At 40.7% G+C, this 21,899-nt stretch overlaps 1 protein-coding gene and 1 pseudogene across 3 annotated transcripts in view, besides 1 other annotated feature; both read right to left on the minus strand.

Annotated features, from left to right (window-relative positions):
• CD58 (CD58 molecule) overlaps positions 1–21,899 on the minus strand; it is a 56,493-nt gene that overhangs the window by 2,624 nt on the left and 31,970 nt on the right. The window contains exons 3-5 of one of the 3 annotated variants that reach the window (NR_026665.2): positions 18,808–19,071; positions 4,749–4,826; positions 2,074–2,145 (exon numbers count right to left, since the gene is read on the minus strand). Coding sequence is in view for 2 of the 3 variants with exons in the window: in NM_001144822.2 (NP_001138294.1) it covers positions 2,070–2,110; positions 4,749–4,826; positions 18,808–19,071 (383 nt within the window). In the remaining variant the exon portion in view is untranslated. Of the gene's footprint in view, positions 1–1,542; positions 2,146–4,748; positions 4,827–18,807; positions 19,072–21,899 lie in introns of those variants that run through there. The other 2 variants (NM_001779.3, NM_001144822.2) reach the window with 2 other exon arrangements.
• NAP1L4P1 (nucleosome assembly protein 1 like 4 pseudogene 1) lies at positions 14,604–16,954 on the minus strand (annotated as a pseudogene).
• Positions 21,429–21,498: an enhancer, noted in NCBI's record as "active region_1565". NCBI's record gives its function as "activates an Ori minimal core promoter by ATAC-STARR-seq in GM12878 lymphoblastoid cells {active_cell/tissue: GM12878}" and the evidence as "EXISTENCE:reporter gene assay evidence [ECO:0000049][PMID:35858748]".

Here is a 21,899-nt window from a genome sequence, read left to right on the forward strand (position 1 = left end):
AGAGACCTGACTTGGCTCTCACACTCACCTGGGGCTCACGCATATTGCTCAGATCTGAAATGCCTTCCTCTGACCACAAGCCTGGAGGTCCCTACCTCTCCCACCTCACCTCATCTCCAGCTACTTGGCTCCTCTCTGCCCAGCCTCCTGGCCCATCAACCCCTCATGGCCTTGGGTCCTCCCAGCTTGGGTCTGTGGCCGGCTGAGCTGCCCCTTGTACTTCCTTGCCCCCAGGCCTCCTGCCACAGCTTGTTTCTCCTGCACTGTTCCACCTGGCAGCTGAGGAGAAAGGACACCTGTGGCCCATCCATCGATCCCACCTCACCTAGGCCCTTGCTGCTGCTTAGCCACCCTCACTTCATCCCTGCACTGACCACAGCAACCGACTCCACAAAACCAAAGGTCTTAACCCCTCGCCTACCTCCTTGTCTCTGCAGCTTTAACATGTAGCCTCCTCCCTCGAGTCTCTAACCCGGGGCTACCCTGGCTCTGATCCTGGACTTTGCTTCCCCAGTCCCGCCTCCTCTGCCTCTTCCCATCACCCTAGGGCATCTAGCTTTTCTTTCTTAGTGACCTCAGGTGCTCACGGCATCAATTACTGTCCAGATGAAGAGGCGCCCCAATCCGTAACTCTAGCGTGAAGCCCACGCTCCAATTCTGTGCATGGACATCACTAGCCAGGTAATACACCAGCACCCCAAAATCAACCTGTCAAAGCAAAAATTCATAATTTTCCTTCCCAACCAAGATTCCTGTGTGACTCCTCTGTGACACTTGGTCCTGTCGCTTTTATTTTTCTTGAAAAATAATAGTAACAATAGTCATAATGGCTAACATTTATTGAAAACTATTATGAGCCAGCCACTATTGTAAGCATTGTACTTATATTAATATATTTTGACACAGTTATTTCTATGTGATTATCTATGCTATCATTGTCATTTCTATATTATCATTATGCCCATTTTCCACAGAAGACAACCAAAGCACAGAGAGTTTAAGTGACTTGTCCAAGGCCTGTGAGAAATGGAGCTGGCATTTGAACCAGGGAGTTTGGCATCAGAGCCTACACTGCCAGATGAAAGTTTTGCTAACAGGACCTCTGCTGTTTCTCTCAAACCTAGCTCTGCATATTCAGTTCTGCCACCATCACCTTGACTCAGGCCCTCTTCTCTGCTTGGCTGGATTATTTCATTACTCCACTAACCAGTGTCCTCATCTCATCTCCTATTAATTAGTCCCATGCTTTGCCAGCAGAGTGATCTTACTAAAGCATAGTTCTGCTAGAAAACTCTGCGGTTCTCCCTAAAGAATGACCCAAAGCCTCTCTCAAAGTCTCAGCCTGGCCCAACCTGCCAGCCCAGCCCCATCTTTCTCTAATGCCTCAACACTCTCTGCTCCAAAGAGGATGGCTTGCTACTTCTTGTCCTGCCCTTCACACCCTGGGCCTTAACTCTTCCCCTCATCCCTCAACACCCAGCTCATGCCTCTGCCTCCTGACCACCAGTGGGATCTGCCAGGAGGGGGCCTCTTGGAGCACCCTACGGCGGTTTATTAAACCAACACTGCTGCTAATTGTGTTTGTGTCCTATCTTTTATATGTGACTACAGGCCCAGCTCTGACCCTGGCTCCTGAAGTGAACCCTATCCCTGATCCAACTTTTTCTGGGATGGGAGGTGGAGGGAGTGTATTGTAGTGGTTAACAGTATAACTCTTGGAGTCCAAAGACCTAGATTTAAATCCCAGCCCATCACTTACTAGCAACGTGACTTTGATATCTCACTTGACTTCTATGAATCTCATATGCGCTGTCTCTAAGCAAGGGGTATGATACTCCTCCTGCAAGGCTCATTGAGAGGGTTCCAGGAAACGATATGCAGAGAGTGGCTAGTGCAGTGCATGGCACACAGTTGGTACTTAATACACTATGGTTAGTATATCTGCTGATGTTACTTCTTATTACTGTACAAGGCAACCAACAGATGAGTACAATCTGGCTTCCCAAGTAATGGGCATCTACAGCAGGGCTGCTGTTGTTCTGGCACAGAGTGCACAGCCTGCAGTGTACTTACTTGGTTCTGTCTGGTTTTCTGTCACATTTCAGAATACCTAAAAATGAAGAAATTGTCTTCTCAATTAAAGAACTGAAAAGAAAAGGTGAAATGTGGAGTTACTGACTGCCTATTAGAGGCCTAAATATGGAAAACTAAGCCAGAGCCCCATCACCCTGGGATTTCCTGCTATCCTATATGCTTTAAATCAAATCGGCTACAGAGCTGGTCCAAAGAGTTGTTCAAAAATTGGTCAGAACATGATAGAAAACCAAATGCAAAAACTGTTGACAAAATGGCTAATTTTACCTCGTGCATAAGGCTGAAGATGCAGGGAAGGCTAGAATAGTTTGGACCAGTGCTGTCCAATAGAAATATAATGCAAGCCACATAAGTAATTTAAAATTTTTGGTATCCACATTACAAAGTAAAAAAAAATGTAAATTTTAATATTTTATTTAACACAATGTGTCACAAATATAAAATTATTTCAACATGTACTCAATATAAACATTTTTTAATGAGATATTTTATATTCTTTCACACACGGTCTTAGAAACATATTATTTTACACTCACAGCACATGATAATTTGGACTCCCACATTTCAAGTGCTCCATAGCCACATGTAGCTCATGGCTACTATTTCAGACATTAAGACACTGCTCCCACACATGCATGCATCACTTTCCTGCCCACAGTAGGCATCCGCCTGACCCTAGAACTATGCTAGTGGTTCAGAAGCTTAGTCAATAGGGTTGACTAGAGCTTATAAAGTTGTCTGTCAACTACAACTAGGCAGCTGGAGCTGTTTCCATTCAACTCTTTCCTCTTCTGAAGATTCCATGCCAAACATCTCACTATTTCCCAATTAATGACTTTAAGGTTGCTTAAAGGTTGAGATGCTTGCTGAGTTTTTTTGTTTGTTTGTTTTTTGAGACAGGGTCTCACTCCATCACCCAGGCTGGAGTGCAGTGGCACAATCTCAGCTCACTGCAACATCTGCCTCCCTCCCGCCTCAGCCTCCTGAGTAGCTGGGACTACAGGCATGCACCACCATGCCTGGCTAATTTTTGTATTTTTTTGTAGAGATAGTGTTTCACCATGTTGTCCAGGCTGGTCTCAAACTCCTGGGCTCAAGTGATGCACACAACTCGACCTCTCAATGTGCTGGGATTACAGGCATGAGCCACCATGCCTGGCCTCCAAATTGTTTTTTTTTTTTAAGAACAAATTTTTTCAGATTATCTGGGGCTAACAGTACTGACCAGGGGAGTAATTTTCTGTATATTGAATGACTTTTTTTTTTTTTTTTAAGTGAAATCAACCAATTGTTTTGAAGTTCTATGGAAACTCAGTGCCACCTCTCTTTAGTTCAGGTATCCTGGGTTAGTTCTTTAATTGAGATCTACAACAACACTGAGTGGAAAATGATTTTGGTTTCTGGGAACCAACCTGTTCAGGAGATGATTAACTATTATACTGCTATTTGGGGATTAAAATAGATTTTTAAAAAATTTGAGCTCCCAAAATATTTTATGCATTGGGCAATAGCTGAAAACTTTCTTCAGCTGATCGTTATAATACTGTTTAGTGGAGAGTCAACTGACTGATAATCTATTACTTAGGGATGGATTTTCATGGTATTTACAACTTATAATATGAAAATGTTATCATCAGGAAATTATATTTAGCACTGATATCGCAAAATAGTCTAGTTCTGCACTGACCAAGAAAACTTTCTGCAATGATAGGATTATTCCTTATCTGGGCTATCCAGTATGGTAGCCACTAGCCAGATGTAGGTATTGAGCACTTGAAAGGTGGTTAGTGTAACTGAGGAATGAATCTTAAATTTAATGGTATTTCATTTTAAATGATATATTTAAATAATCATATGTGGCTAATTGGCTACTATACTAAACAGTGCAGGTCTAAGGAAACTGAAATCTAGTTTATAAACTTGATTCATGACACAATGGATCCTAGATACTATCACTTGTAGAAAGTTTACTCTTCGGCATTCCCTGTCTGGCATATTTCCTTTTGGTGAAGGCTGGTATGGAAACTGCTGTGGCATCAAGAATATCCACTCTTCAGAATTACAGCCTGCTCCCTGTCCTTTGGGATTTGAGAGGGATTACTCATTACCAGGAATGAACAGGCTGGGAACAAATTCTCCAAGTCATCAGTTCTCCAAGCTGTATGACTGCCCAAGATTGCTAGGGGACTGAGAAGGCTCAGGAAGTAATACAAGCACAATTACTTGTATTACGTAAGTCACTTAACTCAACCAAAACTCCCTTCCTACCTGGGAGCCCCATTCGTGTTATATGACATGAAAATTACAGAGGTGGCAGCCTAAAGAGGTCTTTAGCAAACTCTGACTTGGAGACCAGAAGTTTAACTATATTTTGAAGCAGATCACAGGTAAAAGGAGGCTATGCAACAGGTCCAGGCTGTGTTCCCAGGCCTGTAAAGCTCTCTGTGGCCTAAGGATTCATTCTACCTTGAGATAATGTGGATCTTTGGAGGAACCTAGCATGCTCAGCAGTCCCACACACGTAAAGCAAAAAAGTTTTTGTTTCTTTTCAAATGTCTAAAATTTCAAACTTTATTTTCATCCTTAAACTATTTTCTGACCTTTGGAAAACAATGCAAGTTTTCAAACTATTTTGTTTTAAAAAGCATACATACCATTCATATACAGCACAATACATGTTGTAATTACTGCTAATGGTATGGGTATAAGTGCATATCTGTGTCTTGAATGACCTATAAAAAAGAAAAGAAAAGAAATTCAACTAGTTGAACTGATCAAAATGGATCCTCATTATTTGCAGATTCCACCTTGCGGTTTGCTTATTTACTGAAATTTATTTGTAATCCACAAATCAATACCCAAAGCAGTCATTCTCAGACATAAGAACAGTGATGAAAACTTTGAGTCACCCAATAAGCAGATTCCCAGCAGAGGTGGAAAAAGGTAAAGCTCTGCCTTCTTGTTTCAAGTTCTTACACTGTTAACAAGTGTCCTATTTGCAGTCTATTTAGTGCCATGATTTTGCATTTTTGTGCTTTTTTGTTGGTGATTTCACTATTTTAAGTGGTCCCAAAGTATAGTGTTGAAGGGCTGACAAGAGTTCCTAAGTGCAAGAAGGCTGCGATGTGCCTTGCAGAGAAAATAGGTGTATTAGATAAGCTTCACTTAGGCATGAGTTACAGTGCTGTTGGCTATGAGTTCAAGGTCAATAAATCAACACTATATATTAAGGTTTATTTAAACAGAGACACACATAAAACAAGGTTATAAACAGATCATTAACAAAAATCTTATGACTAGAGGCTCACAGGAACCTACCCCTGTATTTCCCCCAGGAACATTACTTCACTACTTGCTATTTCACTGTTAACTTGACTCTGTAGAACTAATATGAATAACAAGATTCGACTATTTCTAAACAAACTTATATGCACAAGCTTGATACATTCCAGACCCTGTGTTATTTAATAAAAGAAGCAAGTGTTCCACTAGAAGGTTTGTTTCTGACCATCTCATACTGCCAGTGGAAGCAGAACTTGGCATTGTGTTTGGTAGGGCAATTCTGGCAGTTGTATATAATAAGCCTTAAAAATATTTATCATGAAGCATCTAGACATTGCACTAAGTCATGTGCCTATAGTCTCACTAAGTCATTACAATGTTGGGCAAGTGCCTTAACCTCTCAGTGCCTCCATTTTCTCACAGGGTAACTATACTCGAGACTAATAAATATACTTATCTCATAGGGTAGTTGCATTTAAGAACAGCTGTTATATACTGTCATTAACCTATTGAGTAGATGTTATTGGTATCTCTATTAATATCTTGTGACTCTGCAATTCCATTTCTAAGATGTTATCCTGGGGAAAATATCAATGATGTGCCCTTCTACTCCCCGCAAAAAGGCACAAAGATATTTACTGCAGCCTTACTTAATATACCATAAGGCAAAAACAACCTAAGTTGTTTTCACAGCAGCTCCTTGTTTTCACAAAAAACTGTGGTATGTTCACAAGGTAAACTCTATCCAGCTATTGAAAATCCAAAATCAGAGTACACAATGCACTGCTAAAGGATTGGGGAGGGGTCACTAAGAACAAATGTGACATGGATATGGGAAAGGAAGGGAAAGGAAGGGAGAGGAGGAAGAGAGAGAGAAAATGAATGAATAAATGAGAATAAGGATATGATCACACTTTCCTTTTATTAGGAACACAGGTGTGTTGGAGCAAATAGGCAGTCACCTATTGGTCAGATTTGAGAAGACCCTGGCCAGAAACTGCTAGGTGCCCCCGAACATCATTTTCCCTTCTTTAGTAGCAAAATTCAGATATTCCTTGGCAATAATACTCCCCAAGTAGTGTTTGTATACTTCCCTTAGGTGGCATACGATGCCTGGTTGCTTTTCTTTTCATGATGTCAGTGCCACTGAAGATCATTGTCTAGAGCCATAAGTTCATCAAGGGTTTGCAAAGTGGTTTAGTCTATCATTCCTTCTTTACTAACTACAATCTTCACATAAAGATAAACTGCCCCTCATCAACAATGTGGTTACTCTGAGGTTCAATTTATATAGGAAAAGCAGCATTTGATTCTTCTCTTTCTTTATCGTTTTTCAAAATAATGAGTTAGCTCCCAAGCATTCTCTAGAGATGACCAGTGAGTTTTTAAATTTGTTTTTAGTACATTATGAACGCATGAACTGAGCACAACTGATGTGTTTCAATCTACTGAAGTTGTTATTCTTATTGATGTTCCAATTGTCTTATTTTTGGCCAGAGGGAACCTCTTCAGAGTGGCTCCTGAGTCCTGTTCGTACCATCATGTTAAGTCTTTTTGATAGCTTTCTTGTTCTGTGGTAAAATAAGATACTCAAGGCTTATTTTAATGCATTCCATGCCCCAGGTATGGAATCAGCCAACTGTCCCAAAGGCCCTAGTTCATTTTCATGGGAAATGATAATTAGGTACCATAATCTGGGTGAAGGTGGCCAATCATCCTGGTTTTCCTGAAACTGAAGAGTTTCCTGGGATATGAAATTCGGGTGCTGAAACTGGGAAGTCTGGGCACACCAGGTAACACTGGTCACTCAAATCTGGGTCCAAGAACCAAGAAGCATGCAAATTGCTACAGGACTGGCTCTTGTTTCTAGAACATTTCAATGGACAGAACCAGGAAATACACAATTTTCTAAGAGACAAAATACATTAATGGGTCATGCTGGCATTATGCTGAACCCTATTAAGCTGCCAAGATTCAATGGTTTTTGACTAGAGAAACAGCAATTTCATATGGTTCAAATTAATACCTTTAAATAAATCCAGGGCTACAATGTTTACTTAACCTAATCAATTTACAGCTGAATCTCCTTTCTTTCATGCCAAACATCCCAATATTCAATAACAACAATATAAATATTCATTTGCATTTTCCTGCAATACATACTCAACAGTAACCAAATACCAGCATTACTGCTAACTACATAATTACTTAAAACATTACAATTTTTTTCTTTATAGTTCTTTTTATCCTTAGAATGCAGCCCCTTGAAATATGCACCCAAATTACTATGTTTTGAAAACACTTGGAATGGTTCCTCTATTTGGGGTTATTCCACAAACTTGATTCATGGCTTAGTAAGTTAGCTTCACTTGGCTTTAAATATTTTGAGTTTCAGGTTCACAACAAAACTGAGCAGAAGTTACAGAAAGTTTGTACATACATCCTGCCCCTACACATGCATAGCCTCCCCATTATCAATATCCCTCACCAGAGTGGTACATTTTTTAGAATTAATGAAACCATTCTGATACATCATTATCATTAAAAAATCCACACTTTACATTAGCATTCAGTTGTACATTCTGTGGGTTTGGACAAATGTATAATAACATCGTTACAGTATCATACAGAGTATTTTCACTGCCCCCAAACTCCTCTGTGTTCCACCTATTCATATCCCCTGCCAACTACTAATCTTTTTACAGTCTCCACAGTTTTGCCTTTTCCAGAATGTCACATAGGTAAAATTTGCATAGCATGTAGCCTGTTCAGATTGGATTCTTTGACTTATAATATGCATTTAAGTTTCCTCCATGTCTTTTCATGGCTTGATAGTTCTTTTCAGTGCTGAATAATATTCTATTGTCTGTATGTACCACAGTTTATTTGTCCATTCACTTACTGAAGGACATCTTGGTTGCTTCCAAGTTTTGACAATTATTAATAAAGATGCTATAACCATCCATGTGAAGGTTTTTATGTCAACATAAGTTTTTAATGCCTTCGGGTAAATAGCAAGAAGCATGACAGTTGTGTTGAATGGTAAGAGTACATACAGTTTTGTAAGAAACTGCCAAACTGTCTTCCAAAGTGGCTGTACCATTTTGCATTCCCACCTGCAATGAATGAGAGTTGCTCCACATCCTCACTGGCATTTGGTGCTGTCAGTGTTCTAGATTTTGGCCAGTGTGATAGGCGTGAAGTGGTATTTCATTGTTGTCTTAGTTTCCATTTCCCTGTTGCCTGTTGACATAGGACATGCCTAGCTAATTTTTGTATTTTTACAAAATAGAAAATAGTAGAAATGGGGTTTCCCCATGTTGGCCAGGCTGGTCTTGAACTCCTGACCTCAGGTGATCCGCCTGCCTCGGCCTCCCAAAGTGCTGGGATTACAGGTGTGAGCCACCGCACCCGGCCCAGGAGTATCTTTTTATATCCCTATTTGCCATCTGTATACCTTCCTTGGAGAAGTGTGTGATGAGATCTTTGACTCATTTTTTAATTGGGTTGTTTGTGTTTTTCTTGTTGAGTTTTAAAAGTTTTTTGTATATTTTGGATAACAGTCTTTTATCAGATGTGTCTTTTGCAAATATTTTCTCCCAGTCTGTGGCTTGGCTTCTCATTCTCTTGAAATTGTCTTTCATAGAGCAATGTTTTTAATTTTAATGAAGTACAGCTTACCAATTCTTTCTTTCATGAATCATGTCTTTGGTGTTGTATCTAAAAAGTCATCATATCCAAAGTTATCTAGGTTTTCTCTTATGTTTTAGGAGTCTTATGGTTTTGCATTTTACATTTAGATCTATGGTCCATTTTGAGTAAAATTTTGTGAAGGGCATAAGGTCTGTGTTTAGATTCATTTTTTTGCATGTGGATGTCCAGTTGTTACAGCACTATTTGTTGAAAAGATCATCTTTGCTCCATTGTATTGCCTTTGCTCCTTTGTCAAAGATCAGTTGACCATATTTATGTTGGTTTATTTCTGGGCTCTCTATTCCGATTCACTGATCTATTTGTCTTTTATTTTTCCACCAGTACCACACTATGTTGACTACTGTAGCTTTATAGTAAGTCTTGAAGTTGAGTAGTATCAGTCCTACAATTTTGTTCTCCTTCAATATTTTGCTGGCTATTCTGGTCTTTTGCCTGCCCATTTAACCTTAAAATCAGTTTGCTGATATCCACAAATGACTTCTGATATTTTGCTTGGGATTGCACTGAATTTATAGAGTAAATTGGAAATAACTGACATCTTCACAATAAGGAGTCTTCCTATCTATGAACATAGAATATCTCTCCATTTATTTAGTTCTTCTTTGATTTTGTTCATCAGTTTTGTTGATTTTCTCATATAAATCTGGGACATATTTTGTTATTGTACCTAAGTATTGCATTTTTGGGGTGCTAAGGTAAATGGTGTTGTGTTTTAAACTTCAAATTCCACTTGTTCATTGCTGTTATAGAAAAGTGATTGACTTTTGTATATTAACTTTGTATCCTACAAATGTGCTATAGTTTTTTATTAGTTCCAGGAGGTTTTTGGTCAATTCGTTTGGATTGTATACATAGATATTCATGTCATCTGAGAACTAAAACAATTTTCTTTCTTTCTTCTCATCTGTATAACTTTTATTTCCTTTTCTTGTCTTATGGCATTAGTTAGTGCTTATAGTACAATACTGAAAAGGAGTGGTGAGAAGAACATTATTTCCTTATTCTTGGTCTTAGTTGGAAAGCTTCAAGTTTCTCACCATTACAGATGATGTTAGCTGCAGGGTTTTTTGTAGGCATTTGTTAACAAGTTGAAAAAGTTTCCCCTCTATTCCTAGTTTACTGAGAGTTTTTATCATAAATTGATGTTGGATTTTGTCAAATGCTTTTTCTGTATCTATTGGTATGATCATGTGATTTTTCTTTCATAGTCTGTCAATGTGATGGATTACATTAATTGATTTTCATATGTTGAACCTGCCTTGCACACCTGAGATAAATACCACTTAGTCATGATGTATAATTCTTTCTATATGCTGTTGGATCCAATTTGCTAATATTTTGTTTAAGGTTTCTACATGTATGTTCATGAGAAATATTTGTCTTAATTTTCTTTTCTTGTATTGTTCTTTGGTTTTAGCACAAGAATAATGCTGGCCTCATAAAATGAATTGGAAAGTATGCCCTCTGCTTCTATCTTCTAAAAGAGATTATAGAGAATTAGTATTTCTTCCTTAAATATCTGGTAGAATTCACCAATGAACCCATCTGAACCTGGTGCTTTCTGTTTTGGAAGATTATTAATTACTGATCTGATTTATTTAAACTGCCAGGCTGAAGTGATCCTCCCACCTCAGTCTCCCAAGTAGCTAGGACTACAGACACATGCCACAACACCTCAGTAACTTTTTAATTTTTAGTAGAGATAGGGTCTCCCTATGTTGCCCAGGCTGGTCTCGAACTCTCAGCCTCAAGCAATCCTCCCGTCTTGGCCTCACAAAGTGTTGGGATTATAGGCATAAGCCACTGCACGCAGCGTTCTTTCTCAATTTTTAAAAGCAGAGTGAACATTCTTAATCACTATTCTTCCCAGTGGAAAGTCATAAAAGTCACAAGAGACCAACTTAAATCAGTCCAAAAATCCTCCTACTTCTGTTTCTGCCTGTTACATTTCATCTGGTTCAAACTTTGTTCAAATATTCTTAACATTCTTTATCTCAGTCTACATAATATTATTTCCTATGTTGCATTTCTTTCCTTCTTCTCCTTTTTCCTATTTCCGCATATTTTTGTGTTTCTATGATGAATTTTTCCAATTTCTCTCTTTTTTCTTAGGAGTAAGATCAAAGGGTGTTTTTTTGAGGCTCTACCTTCAGTGACTTACTCCCTGCAGGTAACATAATGTCCACACAGCTATGAAAGAAAGATCATCTAGTTGAACTCAGAACAATGTTTGTTCTACATAACTTCAGGTCGGAACTGAACAATGTTTCTTTTATGTTCTTGGTCCATAAATGTGTACAACAGTTGGAAACTGGTACTCTAGAGAATATCCTCTTGCCTACCCCTTCAAAAAATGTGCCCTTTCCCTAGGCTCCCATTTAGAGTTCTGTGTCAATGTGGAGGGTGTTACAATCATCCTACTTCTTCCCAGCAGTTATCTAAAAGAGAATGGTGAAGTGCACTGGGTTTCTTTACCTGGAAATAGCCTTTGACTCTCAAAGGTACTCAGATTTTATTTTCCTCTTTCACAGCCAAATATATAACTGGCCTATTGGACTACCCCTCTTCTTACTTAAAGCCCAGGAATCTGGTTCCTACCCTCATCTATTCACAAGGTCTGTCAACAATGACCTCCTAAGTGCCAAATCCACAACCTCTTCTACATTGTCCTCCTTAAACCATTGGCTGTATATAATGTTATACCAAATGTCCTCTCTTGAAACTCTTCCTGTATCCTGAATAACAACTAGCAGTTTTATAGTGACTAACCATCAATACTCTTTCCCACATGCTATTTTATTTAATTTCCTCAGCCCTTGTAAAGTAAGTATTATTATCCCCCACATTCACACTGCCAGTAAGCAATGAAATCAGGTCTAGGACCTAGGTTTTCTTGCTCCCAATCCCATGTTCTCTTCTATCCAGAATTTTCTCCTGCCCTCAACTTCTCAATTTTCTAATCTGTATAAGTCTGTCTATATTCACGTGCTGCCATAAACCAGCTTTCTGACCTTGAGATCTCTGAACATCTGTAGCATGGGCATAAAACCTCCATGCTATCTACTCTGACCGCAGATAAGGAGATAAGGAGGAGCAAAATGTAGGAGCATGACACAAAGGCAAGAAATAATTGCTCACTAGCTTTCTTTCCATCTCCCAATGCCTTGGAGCTGCAATTTTCAAACGGTTAACCAATGGAAGTAAATTCCAAATTCCAGATTATAATTCTCCATCTCTGAGTCATCTTCTTACTTTTACTTCCCAGTACAGTGGGGAAGACACAGTGCTTTGAGTTCAGATGGAGTTGGATGTCAAATCCTGGCTTTGCTCTTAATAAATGTGTATATTTGGTCAAGTTATTTAACCTCACTGTGCCTCAGATTCCTCCTTTATAAATACCCACACCACTGGGTTGTTGTGTGGATTAAATGTGACACATTTATGTAAATCATTTACAGGAGTTTGTTGTGGAGCAGGCCTTCAGTAAGTATTAGTTCATTCCCCCAGTACAATACGAGTTGGACAAGAACTCTGTCCTCAATCTTAACTGTCTCTAAAATTCTCCTTTAGATTGTGTTTAACTAGTTAGTAACCCCATCGCCCCATTTCTGGGTTGCAGTGACGGTATGACAGTAGATGTCATGACTAAAATGATGACAAACCACAAAAAGGTCCTACTAGACAAAATGTTACAAGAAACATGAGATAATGAGGTAAAAAATTAAGTTACATTTGACCAATATCTACTATGTATATCTATATAGTATGGGTTTCTCTAGCTCATTCATATGAATAAATCAAAGAAAACTTTAAAATTTGATTTATTTTGAAACGTATAGAGAGTCAGGATGGTATCATACAAAAACACTCTGGAATTCAAAGACCTAAATTTTAATTCTATCTCCAATACTTAAGTGACCCTGGGCAAGTCACCCCACCTGGTTGACCCTGTCTCCTCATTCTTTTTTTTTTTTTTGAGACGGAATCTCACTCTGTCACCCAGGCTGGAGTGCAGTGGTGTGGTCTCAGCTCACTGCCAGCTCCGCCTCCCGGGTTCATGCCATTCTCCTGCCTCAGCCTCCCAAGTAGCTGGGACTACAGGTGCCCACCAACACACCTGACTAATTTTTTGTATTTTTAGTACAGACGGGGTTTCACCGTGTTAGCCAGGATGGTCTTGATCTCCTGACCTCGTGATCCACCCGCCTCAGCCTCCCAAAGTGTTGGGATTACAGGTGTGAGCCACCGCACCCGGCTACCTGTCTCCTCATTCTTAAAAGGTAAGTAACAACTGTCTGGCCAATCTAAAATGATAGTGGTGAGGAGCAAATGAGGCATTTATTTGAAGGGTTTGCTAAAGGAGAGCAGGCTAGTCAATGTGAGTTAGTTTGCTTCACTGATAAAGCATTGGAAAGTTTAGATGAGAAATCAAAACCTGAAAAAGTAAGATCTAGTATTTAACTGTTATACTTTCATGGATTTGTATCTATTATGATGCATGTGGTTCCACACAAAAGCATTCAAAAATCATCTCAGAAAAAAAAAGATCCTAGACTGTTACTGTTCAAAAGAACCATTAAGATCATTAAGTTCAGCTCCTGGTTTGCATTTTAAAAGGAGAAGGTCCTCCAATATTTGGTTAACAGAAACCAGGGTCAGAAGCCCAGACATATGTCTCAGATGTCAACACTACTCCAGGATTTAAACCTAAGACCTATCAAGCAACATTCCTCAAACTTTCAAAATCTGTTGTATATATGTGAACTATCAATTTGGAAGAAAATGTAAAAGAAGGATAAATCACCATTATTTAATAATTAAAAGAATTTTTTCAAATTAATAGTACTTATTTCAAATCAATAAGAGGAATATCATTCCTCTTATGATCTTTTACCAGACTATTTACAGGGAAAGTAATCTTACTTTCAGTAAGAGTAATTTTACTTTGTGTCTTCAAATTCTAATGGCAAACATAAAGTTAAACATAAAGTTTTGCAAGGGCAAAACCTTTAAAAATCCCCTAAAATATTCCATGTAATTCTATAGAGGGATCTTACTCAGAAATTATTTCCTTCAAGTATTTTGTCTCTTGGAACACTTAAAACTTTTCAAGATTTCAACTTGCTTGCTCTGTCTATATGTGGTCATCTTCTTCCCCCTTGTCAGTTAGATGCAGCACACATATACCAAAAGGCAAAAGCACACTGGTTTTATTTTTTGTTGTTCCCATTATAAAGCAACTATCTGCTTTTACAACAAATTGCATTTCCATATCGTATGCCTTGGGTATTATGTAACACTCAAAAGGTGGAATTAATAAAGGAATGTTTGCTCCAAGCTTAACTATTTTAACTTTGCAGCTCGTTTTAAAAACTTCTTGCAATTGTGTGACTTGTACAAACAGTGCTCCTTTGAGTGACACCTCTGTGGGTTTGATCTTTTCTCTGTCTTCAAAAATCAAATCTATCAGTTATAAATTGGGACTCATTTGCACTTTTTCTTTTTTTTCTCCGTGTTTCATAACTTTAATAGAATATTCTAACTATTATGTACAAATTGAAAACACTGTATTCAGTTATAAATGTGTTCTAAGGTTAGGCTGAGCACTCTCTACAGGCCTGGTCAGCGCGGACAAGGCCATCCCCGGCTGCCACAGAGCGCTGTCACCCACTTGGAAACCCCACTCACCAGCCACCAACCGGTCACACCAACCAGGACCTTCAGACAGGATGAATGGTGGGGCCCAGCAATGGGACTACTGAGAAAGCAGGACTTGACGCTCATATGCTCAAATGAAACGCAGGACTTCCCAGCCCAGCCCCTCACTGGAGAACACTGCCGAATCCCAACTCCGGCAGCAGGGCGGTGCCTGTGTCACGAGGACAGGCTCGCGTCTTCAGCCCTGGTGGCAGGAAGCAGTGTTTCTTCCGCACAGCCCTTGCTCCTGCTAGGAAGTGGCACATCTTCCTGCTCAGGTCACCAGGGTGGTTCAGAAATGGCAAGGACGAGCGACAGCAAAAGGCCGCAGTCCTCACAGGCAAGAAGGGATAAATAAATATGAGGTGACCCGTGGCAGCTCTCGCCTGAGCTGGTGTGCCACAACCCTGACCCAACCCTTAAAAAAGAAGATCAAAAAGCAACATCCTAAGGAGAATACGGCCCTACTCTACACGGCCCTTCTGAGATGATTAGCATACAGCAGGTGATGCAGGCTGCACACTCAGCAGATTAAGCAGCTGAAAACAGCGAGTGGGTTTCTTCAAATGAAAGGAAAGAATTCAGTCCAACTGCAGGAGTGGTAGGAGAGGTTCTAGATCCCTGGAACCTCATCACCAGACCTCGGCCCTTTTAGCCAAGTGATCCCCACCCCATCCCACCCCACCCCAATGGGGTCTATGGGGCCCTCCCGCAGGGAAGGGTCCAGGCAAGTCCAGAGCTACAGGCACCAAGGCTGCAGAGGGTATTGGACAAAACCTCCTATTTCTGAAATGCATTTCAGTTGCCACTGTACACATTAAGCAAAATAATAAGGAAAAAGGAAAAGTGAAAGTGAAAATCATGCACTTGAAAACGATTAGATGGAGTAAGCGCTGTCGACGGGATTGTGCCGCATGCGGCAAAGACTGAGGCCTCCCGCTACAGGCCCGGAGTCGCGACAGCCGGTCTGCCAGGCGCCCACCTCCACTTCCTACTGCTGCTTGCATTCCGCCGGCTGGCTGGGTTCCTTGTTGGGATTAATTTCCACCTCATCCTCATCTTCTCCCTCCTCATCACCTTCTAATTCGTCCTCTTCTTCTTCACCTTCGTCAAAATTGTCATCATCCTTTAAGGCCTCCCCAGCGAAGTACAGCACAGCCTGTGGTCCGCTCACGGAAAAAGTGTCCAATTTCAAAATCAGAGGCTAATACGAATTCAGAATCTTTATCCAGTGATTCTCCGTCCCCAGATGCTTTCAGTGGATTGAAGAAGTTGAAAAATGACTCATTGGATACTTGTTTGGTAATTGTTCTAACAGTGCCTGGACCCTTACGCTTCTGCTTTTTCTTGATGGTTTTGACAGTAACATTCTTTCCTTTCTTCCAGTCAATAGTACACCCATCGCAGTCCATGATCTCAGGACCTGCAAATGAAAAGGGATCAGCCTTATCTGGTTCTGATTTCATCTTGCAGGTTTTTGTCAGGACTGAGTTGGCAAAGCAGTCATTGGGTTGAAAGTGGAACTCTTAATATGAAAGACATAGGCTGTCCAGGGTCAGAAAACTTCACTTTAATATCCTGCAGGTATTTCAAGATTGGTTCATCATATTCCTGGACTAATTCACTTAGCATATCTACATTTCTAAAGATGGTAAACCAGAACTCTGGAATTCCTTTGGGATTTGGCTCTTCAGCTGTTGCTGCTGCTTTTTCTGTTATGACTACTTTATTTTTCCTGTCTCCAGCCAATTTCTCCTCCTCTTCATTTTCACGGTGCCATTCTGATTCCATATCAGATGTTGGTTCAACATCACCGGTGATAAATTCTCTTCTCTCGTCAAAGAGAGGCTGGTATAATGCTGCATATTTTCTTTCCAAGTCATGAACTTCTTCATAGAACTTGGCTTCTATATGAGCGCATCTCACCTGAATTTGTTTCAATGCATTAATTCTTCTTTTTACTGCTTTAGGTAAAGTTTCGATGTAGCTGGAAGGGGTGTGAGGGGCATTGTCAAGTCGCTCCTGTAAAGCTGCCAAAACTCCAGGATTCTGCATCACCTGATCCGTGAGCTTTTCCGTCTTACTTGCATTTTTAGCAGCTTCCACGAAATCTGAAGGAACCCCATCTGAAAAACTGTTATCTGCCATCTGAATGTTTTTATCCCCTTGTCTGGTAAACCAAGTCCCGTGAGTAACTAGGCTAAGGCACTCAGGCCAGTCCTCGGGGAGCACACGCCGCCCATCTGGCTCGCACCGCACAGCTCCCAACAGCTGAGATGCAATGCCAAGGACTTTCTTCCCCATCAGACATGCCCTCGTCCACACGAAACTTACAATCAAAACCCCAGTTAGCCCAGCCTGACCCCACAGATGCTCACGATGACCATCGCCCTACGGAAAAACTCAAATTCCTAAACATCTAATAAAGAGGTCCTGGACGTCTCCACCTTAAAAACGGGAAGCCTGAATGCTCCTCCGGGTGCGCCGCGGCCCTCCGGGTACGCGGGGCTGGCTGGGCTAGCGGGAGATTTGAGCTGCCAGCCCCCACTCGCCGCCCTCTACGCCTCCTCCGCTGGGCCGCCGGCGAGGAAGCCGCCCGCAGCGCAGAACAAAGCGACTTGACCTTCAGGGCAGTGGGCGGCAGGGCAGGGGCGCACCGGGTGCTGGGAGGGGCCGCTCCAGGCCCCAAGCCCCAGGCCCGCCGCGGCGGCGCTGCCCACCCTGACGAGGACGTCTACTTTTTCTTGAAAAATGTCTTTCCTTTCCCAAAAGTGACTCTGCTTTGTCTGAAAATAATATAACTTTAATGGCTTTAAGTTATTGTTTGAAAGGGTTCAGAAAAGACAATAAATGGGAGACTTAGAATGGCTCACCAGTTAAAATCCAAGTTTCATATATTTCTTGTATTTGCTAATTTCCCTTATCTGTTTCAGCTGCTTGTTCAGAAAAATTTCATTCATAGACTCACCTTATCCCAGCCCTAGAGACTCATATTCTCTATTTGCCCTGGAATCCTGTTCACTATTTACAATTATATTATTCTGAATAATAGTATTTACTATTTTCGTCTCTTTTATATTTTAATAAACCACTTTCAAGTCACTGACCTTTTTGTTTGTTAAACTGGGGATATAATGTAAAAAACAGATAATAAAAATTACAAATGTAAATAATACTAAAACAACATTAGAAAATCATAGCCAAGACAGATTGTCATGATATTAACTTAGTGTTAGGCCTAAGGAAACATATCAAATGCATGTTCCTGTAGTAGATATGTAACCTTTCAGAACATAATGATATTATAACAATATTATAAAGCAGCATTGTGAATAGTTAAAACCATGGGCTCTAGAGCCAGATAGCCTCTACTCAAAGCCAGGTTCTGCCACTTACTAGCTGTTACCTTGAGCAAACAACTTAAACTCTCTCTCTGTTGGTTTCTCACCAGGAAACAGGGATAAGTACTAGTACACAACTTATAGGTTGTATGAGGATTGATGTGAAGATTGAATTAATTAACATATGTATTAGAATGGTGCTCAACACAGAAAGTGCTAAATAATGTTAGCTTTGTATCTATAATGGGGTTTCTGTTAAAAATTGTAACTTGTTGGCCGGGCGCGGTGGCTCACGCCTGTAATCCCAGCACTTTGGGAGGCCGAGGCGGGCGGATCACGAGGTCAGGAGATCGAGACCATCCTGGCTAACACGGTGAAACCCCGTCTCTACTAAAAATACAAAAAATTAGCCGGGCGTGGTGGCGGGCGCCTGTAGTCCCAGCTACTCGGGAGGCTGAGGCAGGAGAATGGCGTGAACCCAGGAGGCGGAGCTTGCAGTGAGCCGAGATCGCGCCACTGCACTCCAGCCTGGGCGACAGAGCGAGACTCTGTCTCAAAAAAAAAAAAAAAAAAAAAAAAAAAATTGTAACTTGTTTTACATTTCAAAATTGTGAACCTTGTGTTAGTCACCACATCTGTGGTCTGAAAGCCTCCATGACACATTTAGTTATTTACTCACCGCTGCTTGGGATACAGGTTGTCAAAATGATTGATGATGTTGTATTAAATAATGGATTGCTAAGAGTACACTGTATTTTTTGTGGAAGATCATTTTCCATCTTAAAATATATACTGGTTGAGTTACGTTTACATTGCTCCATAGGACAATCCCATGAGTACATTATAAGTCCTCGATGGCTGTTGTAATGCTCTGGTATCATGCATTGGACTTCAATGCTTCCATTAGTCAATGCACAAGTTAGTGTGGGAGATGGAAGAGACTCTGGAAAAAAAAGTATAATATTTAGTACAGAAAATAGTAATATTTAGACTTATCATCTGCAAATTTATGAAGAGCTCGCAACCTCCTTACAAGCTTGAAAGGATGAGCAGACAAACTCCTTGAGCATCAAGGAGCGAGAATTCTTTCTTTTGCTAGGTCAGATCTACCTGTTCAAATTTAACAGAATAAATTCAGACCCTGATATGGTTTGGCTCTGGGTCCTCACCCAAATCTCATCTTGAATTGTAATTCCCATGTGTCGAGAGAGGGACCTGGTGGGAGGTGATTGTACCATGGGGGATGGTTTCCCCATGCTATTCTAGTGATAGAGAGTGAGTTCTCATGACATCTGTTGGTTTAAAAGTGTGTGGCAGTTCTCTCTCTCTCCTGCTGCCTTGTGAAAAAAGTGCTTGCTTCTCCTTCGCCTTCTGCCATGATTGTAAGTTTCCCGAGGCCTCCCCAGCCATGTGGAACTGTGAGTCAATTAAACCTCTTTTCTTTATAAATTACCCAGTTTCAGGTAGTTCTTTATAGCAGTGTGAAAACAGACCAATACAGGCCCCAAATCCCTTATCCTCAATTCTTAAATCAAAAAATCTCTGAAGCCAAAAGAGTCTTCGCAAGTTGGTAGCAAAATCGTTTAGCTGCAAATCCTGACCTGACCTGAATTAACACAAGGATTTGAGTCTTTCTCACTCACTTCAAATATTCATTATCGTTTCACCACAAAAATATTCCTGTGCTTGGCAGGACACAGTGGCTCATGGCTATACTCCCAGCACTTTGGGAGGCTGAGGCAGGAGGATGGCTTGAGGCCAGGAGTTCAAGACCAGCCTGGGCAACATAGCAAGACCCTGTCTTTATAAAAAGTTTAAAGATTAGCCAGCCATGATGGCTCCTGCCTGTAGTCTCAGCTACTTGCAACTGCTTGAACCAAGGAATCTGAAGCTACAGTGAGTTATAATTGTGCCAGTGCACTCTAGCTCACTACACACAGTGGGCTATGATTGCATCAGACTGAGACCTTGTCTTTAAATATATAGGAATGAAGTAAATACTTGTTCCTATGCTTGACCCATAGGGTGCTCCCCATAATTAAGTGGGGTGCTTAATATGCAGAGGAAATACTTTGTATTACCTTTCCAAAATGTAAAAAAAAATTTTAATTCCATAACACGTCTGACTCAAAGCATTTTGTGAAAGGAAAGTCCATAATACATCTGACTCAATACATTTTGTGAAAGGTGGAGCTACACAGAGCCTTGTCGGGCCCTGCCTATTGGTTGGGCTGGACCTGTTAATAGGCAGTGCAGGGAGCAGCATGTGTCACAGACCTGCCTGTCCAGAGGCCTCACTCCCACCCTTCTTCTAGGAAGTGCCTCCTATTGGCTAAGGCAGCATGGACCTACAAGGATGAGTTAAGACACTAACATGTCACATTCTGCCATTGTTGCCCTTTAAAAGCCTCAAGGCTAATTACTTTGTCCTATGAGTCATTTATTTGTTAATTCATATGCCTTCTTGCGTCTCAGCTACCCTCCAGCAATTAATCATAAGAGGCCTGAGGAAACATGCAAAAACATATGTAATATACAACAATGGTCATGGTAGCACTGGGATAATAAAGTATTGATACATTATAAACGTCTACTAAAAAGAGCATTTAAGTAAATTTAGGTTCACCAAGATAATGGAATACTATGTTGTCATTTAAAATGATGTTTTCTAAGACAAGTTAATGCTTATGCTCCAATTATAATCTGAAAAATAAAAGCATTTAATGGTTCCCCCATCTTCTCCTCCTCCTGAATTCCTTCTCGCTCAGTTAAATAAAGTACCCAGCCTGCCTTGGTAGAAACCAGAGTCACACACTGACTTCCCTTTCTACTTGGGGCTTCCTAGTTTTTAAGTTTAATCTAGCTCACACAAGTCCTTACATACTTCCTTAAGATTTTCTTTAATTAAAAAGACTTTTAATCATCTTTTAAGCAGTGGAATTTCTCAGAATTAAATCTTCAGTGGCAATCCAATCCAATGGATAAGAAGTTGCTCTAGTTGACTCAAAATTGAAAGCCTAGAGCCCTGCTCTCCTAACTTCCTCTGGTCCCTTTTGCCCACCCCACCCCATAGCAGCCCTCAGGGGACTTCCAAGGAACATGCATCCCCAGAATAGTTCAAAAATGCCTGTTCTCAGTATTTCATATACTTATGCCTGCCTCTGTAACTAGGCTGGGCATTTCTCAGGGGCAGAAAACCAAGCTTTCTACCTCCTTAGAAATGGTCCTTTGAAGCATTTCTCAAATTTTAAGGTGCCTAAGAATCACCAAGGGTGCTTGTTAAAAATACAGATTCCTGAGCCCCACCATCCCAGGTGCTTCTGATGTATGTGGCCTGTTTGTTCTGTTGCAGATTCTAATGTATTGATCTAGCTCTGCCAATGTCTAGTCTTTCATCCAGCACTTTCTGAACTGAACAGAGGTGCATCATCAGCCCCAGAGACTGTGTATCTTTGGAGGGCAAAGACTAGGTATGACTCACCTTTCAACCACAGCACATGACATAATGCAAGGCACACAGATGGCTCCTCACAAGCAGTACAGGACAGATGGGGAGACAGATGGATAGAAGGATAGATTCAGAGAGACAGTCTTCAAATAAAATGTAAATTCTTCTACCCGCTATCTCCAAAGAGGTACAGTATGGTGTTTAGCATGGACTCAGAAGCCCAGCTGCCTGAGTGCATATCCCAGCTTCATGACTAAGAGCCATTTGACATTGGGCAAGTTACTTAAATCACCTTGTGTCTAGGTTTCCTCCTCTCTACAATA

The sequence above is a fragment of the Homo sapiens genome, chromosome 1 (assembly GCF_000001405.40).
Source record: "Homo sapiens chromosome 1, GRCh38.p14 Primary Assembly".
Classification (NCBI taxonomy): Eukaryota; Metazoa; Chordata; class Mammalia; order Primates; family Hominidae; genus Homo; species Homo sapiens.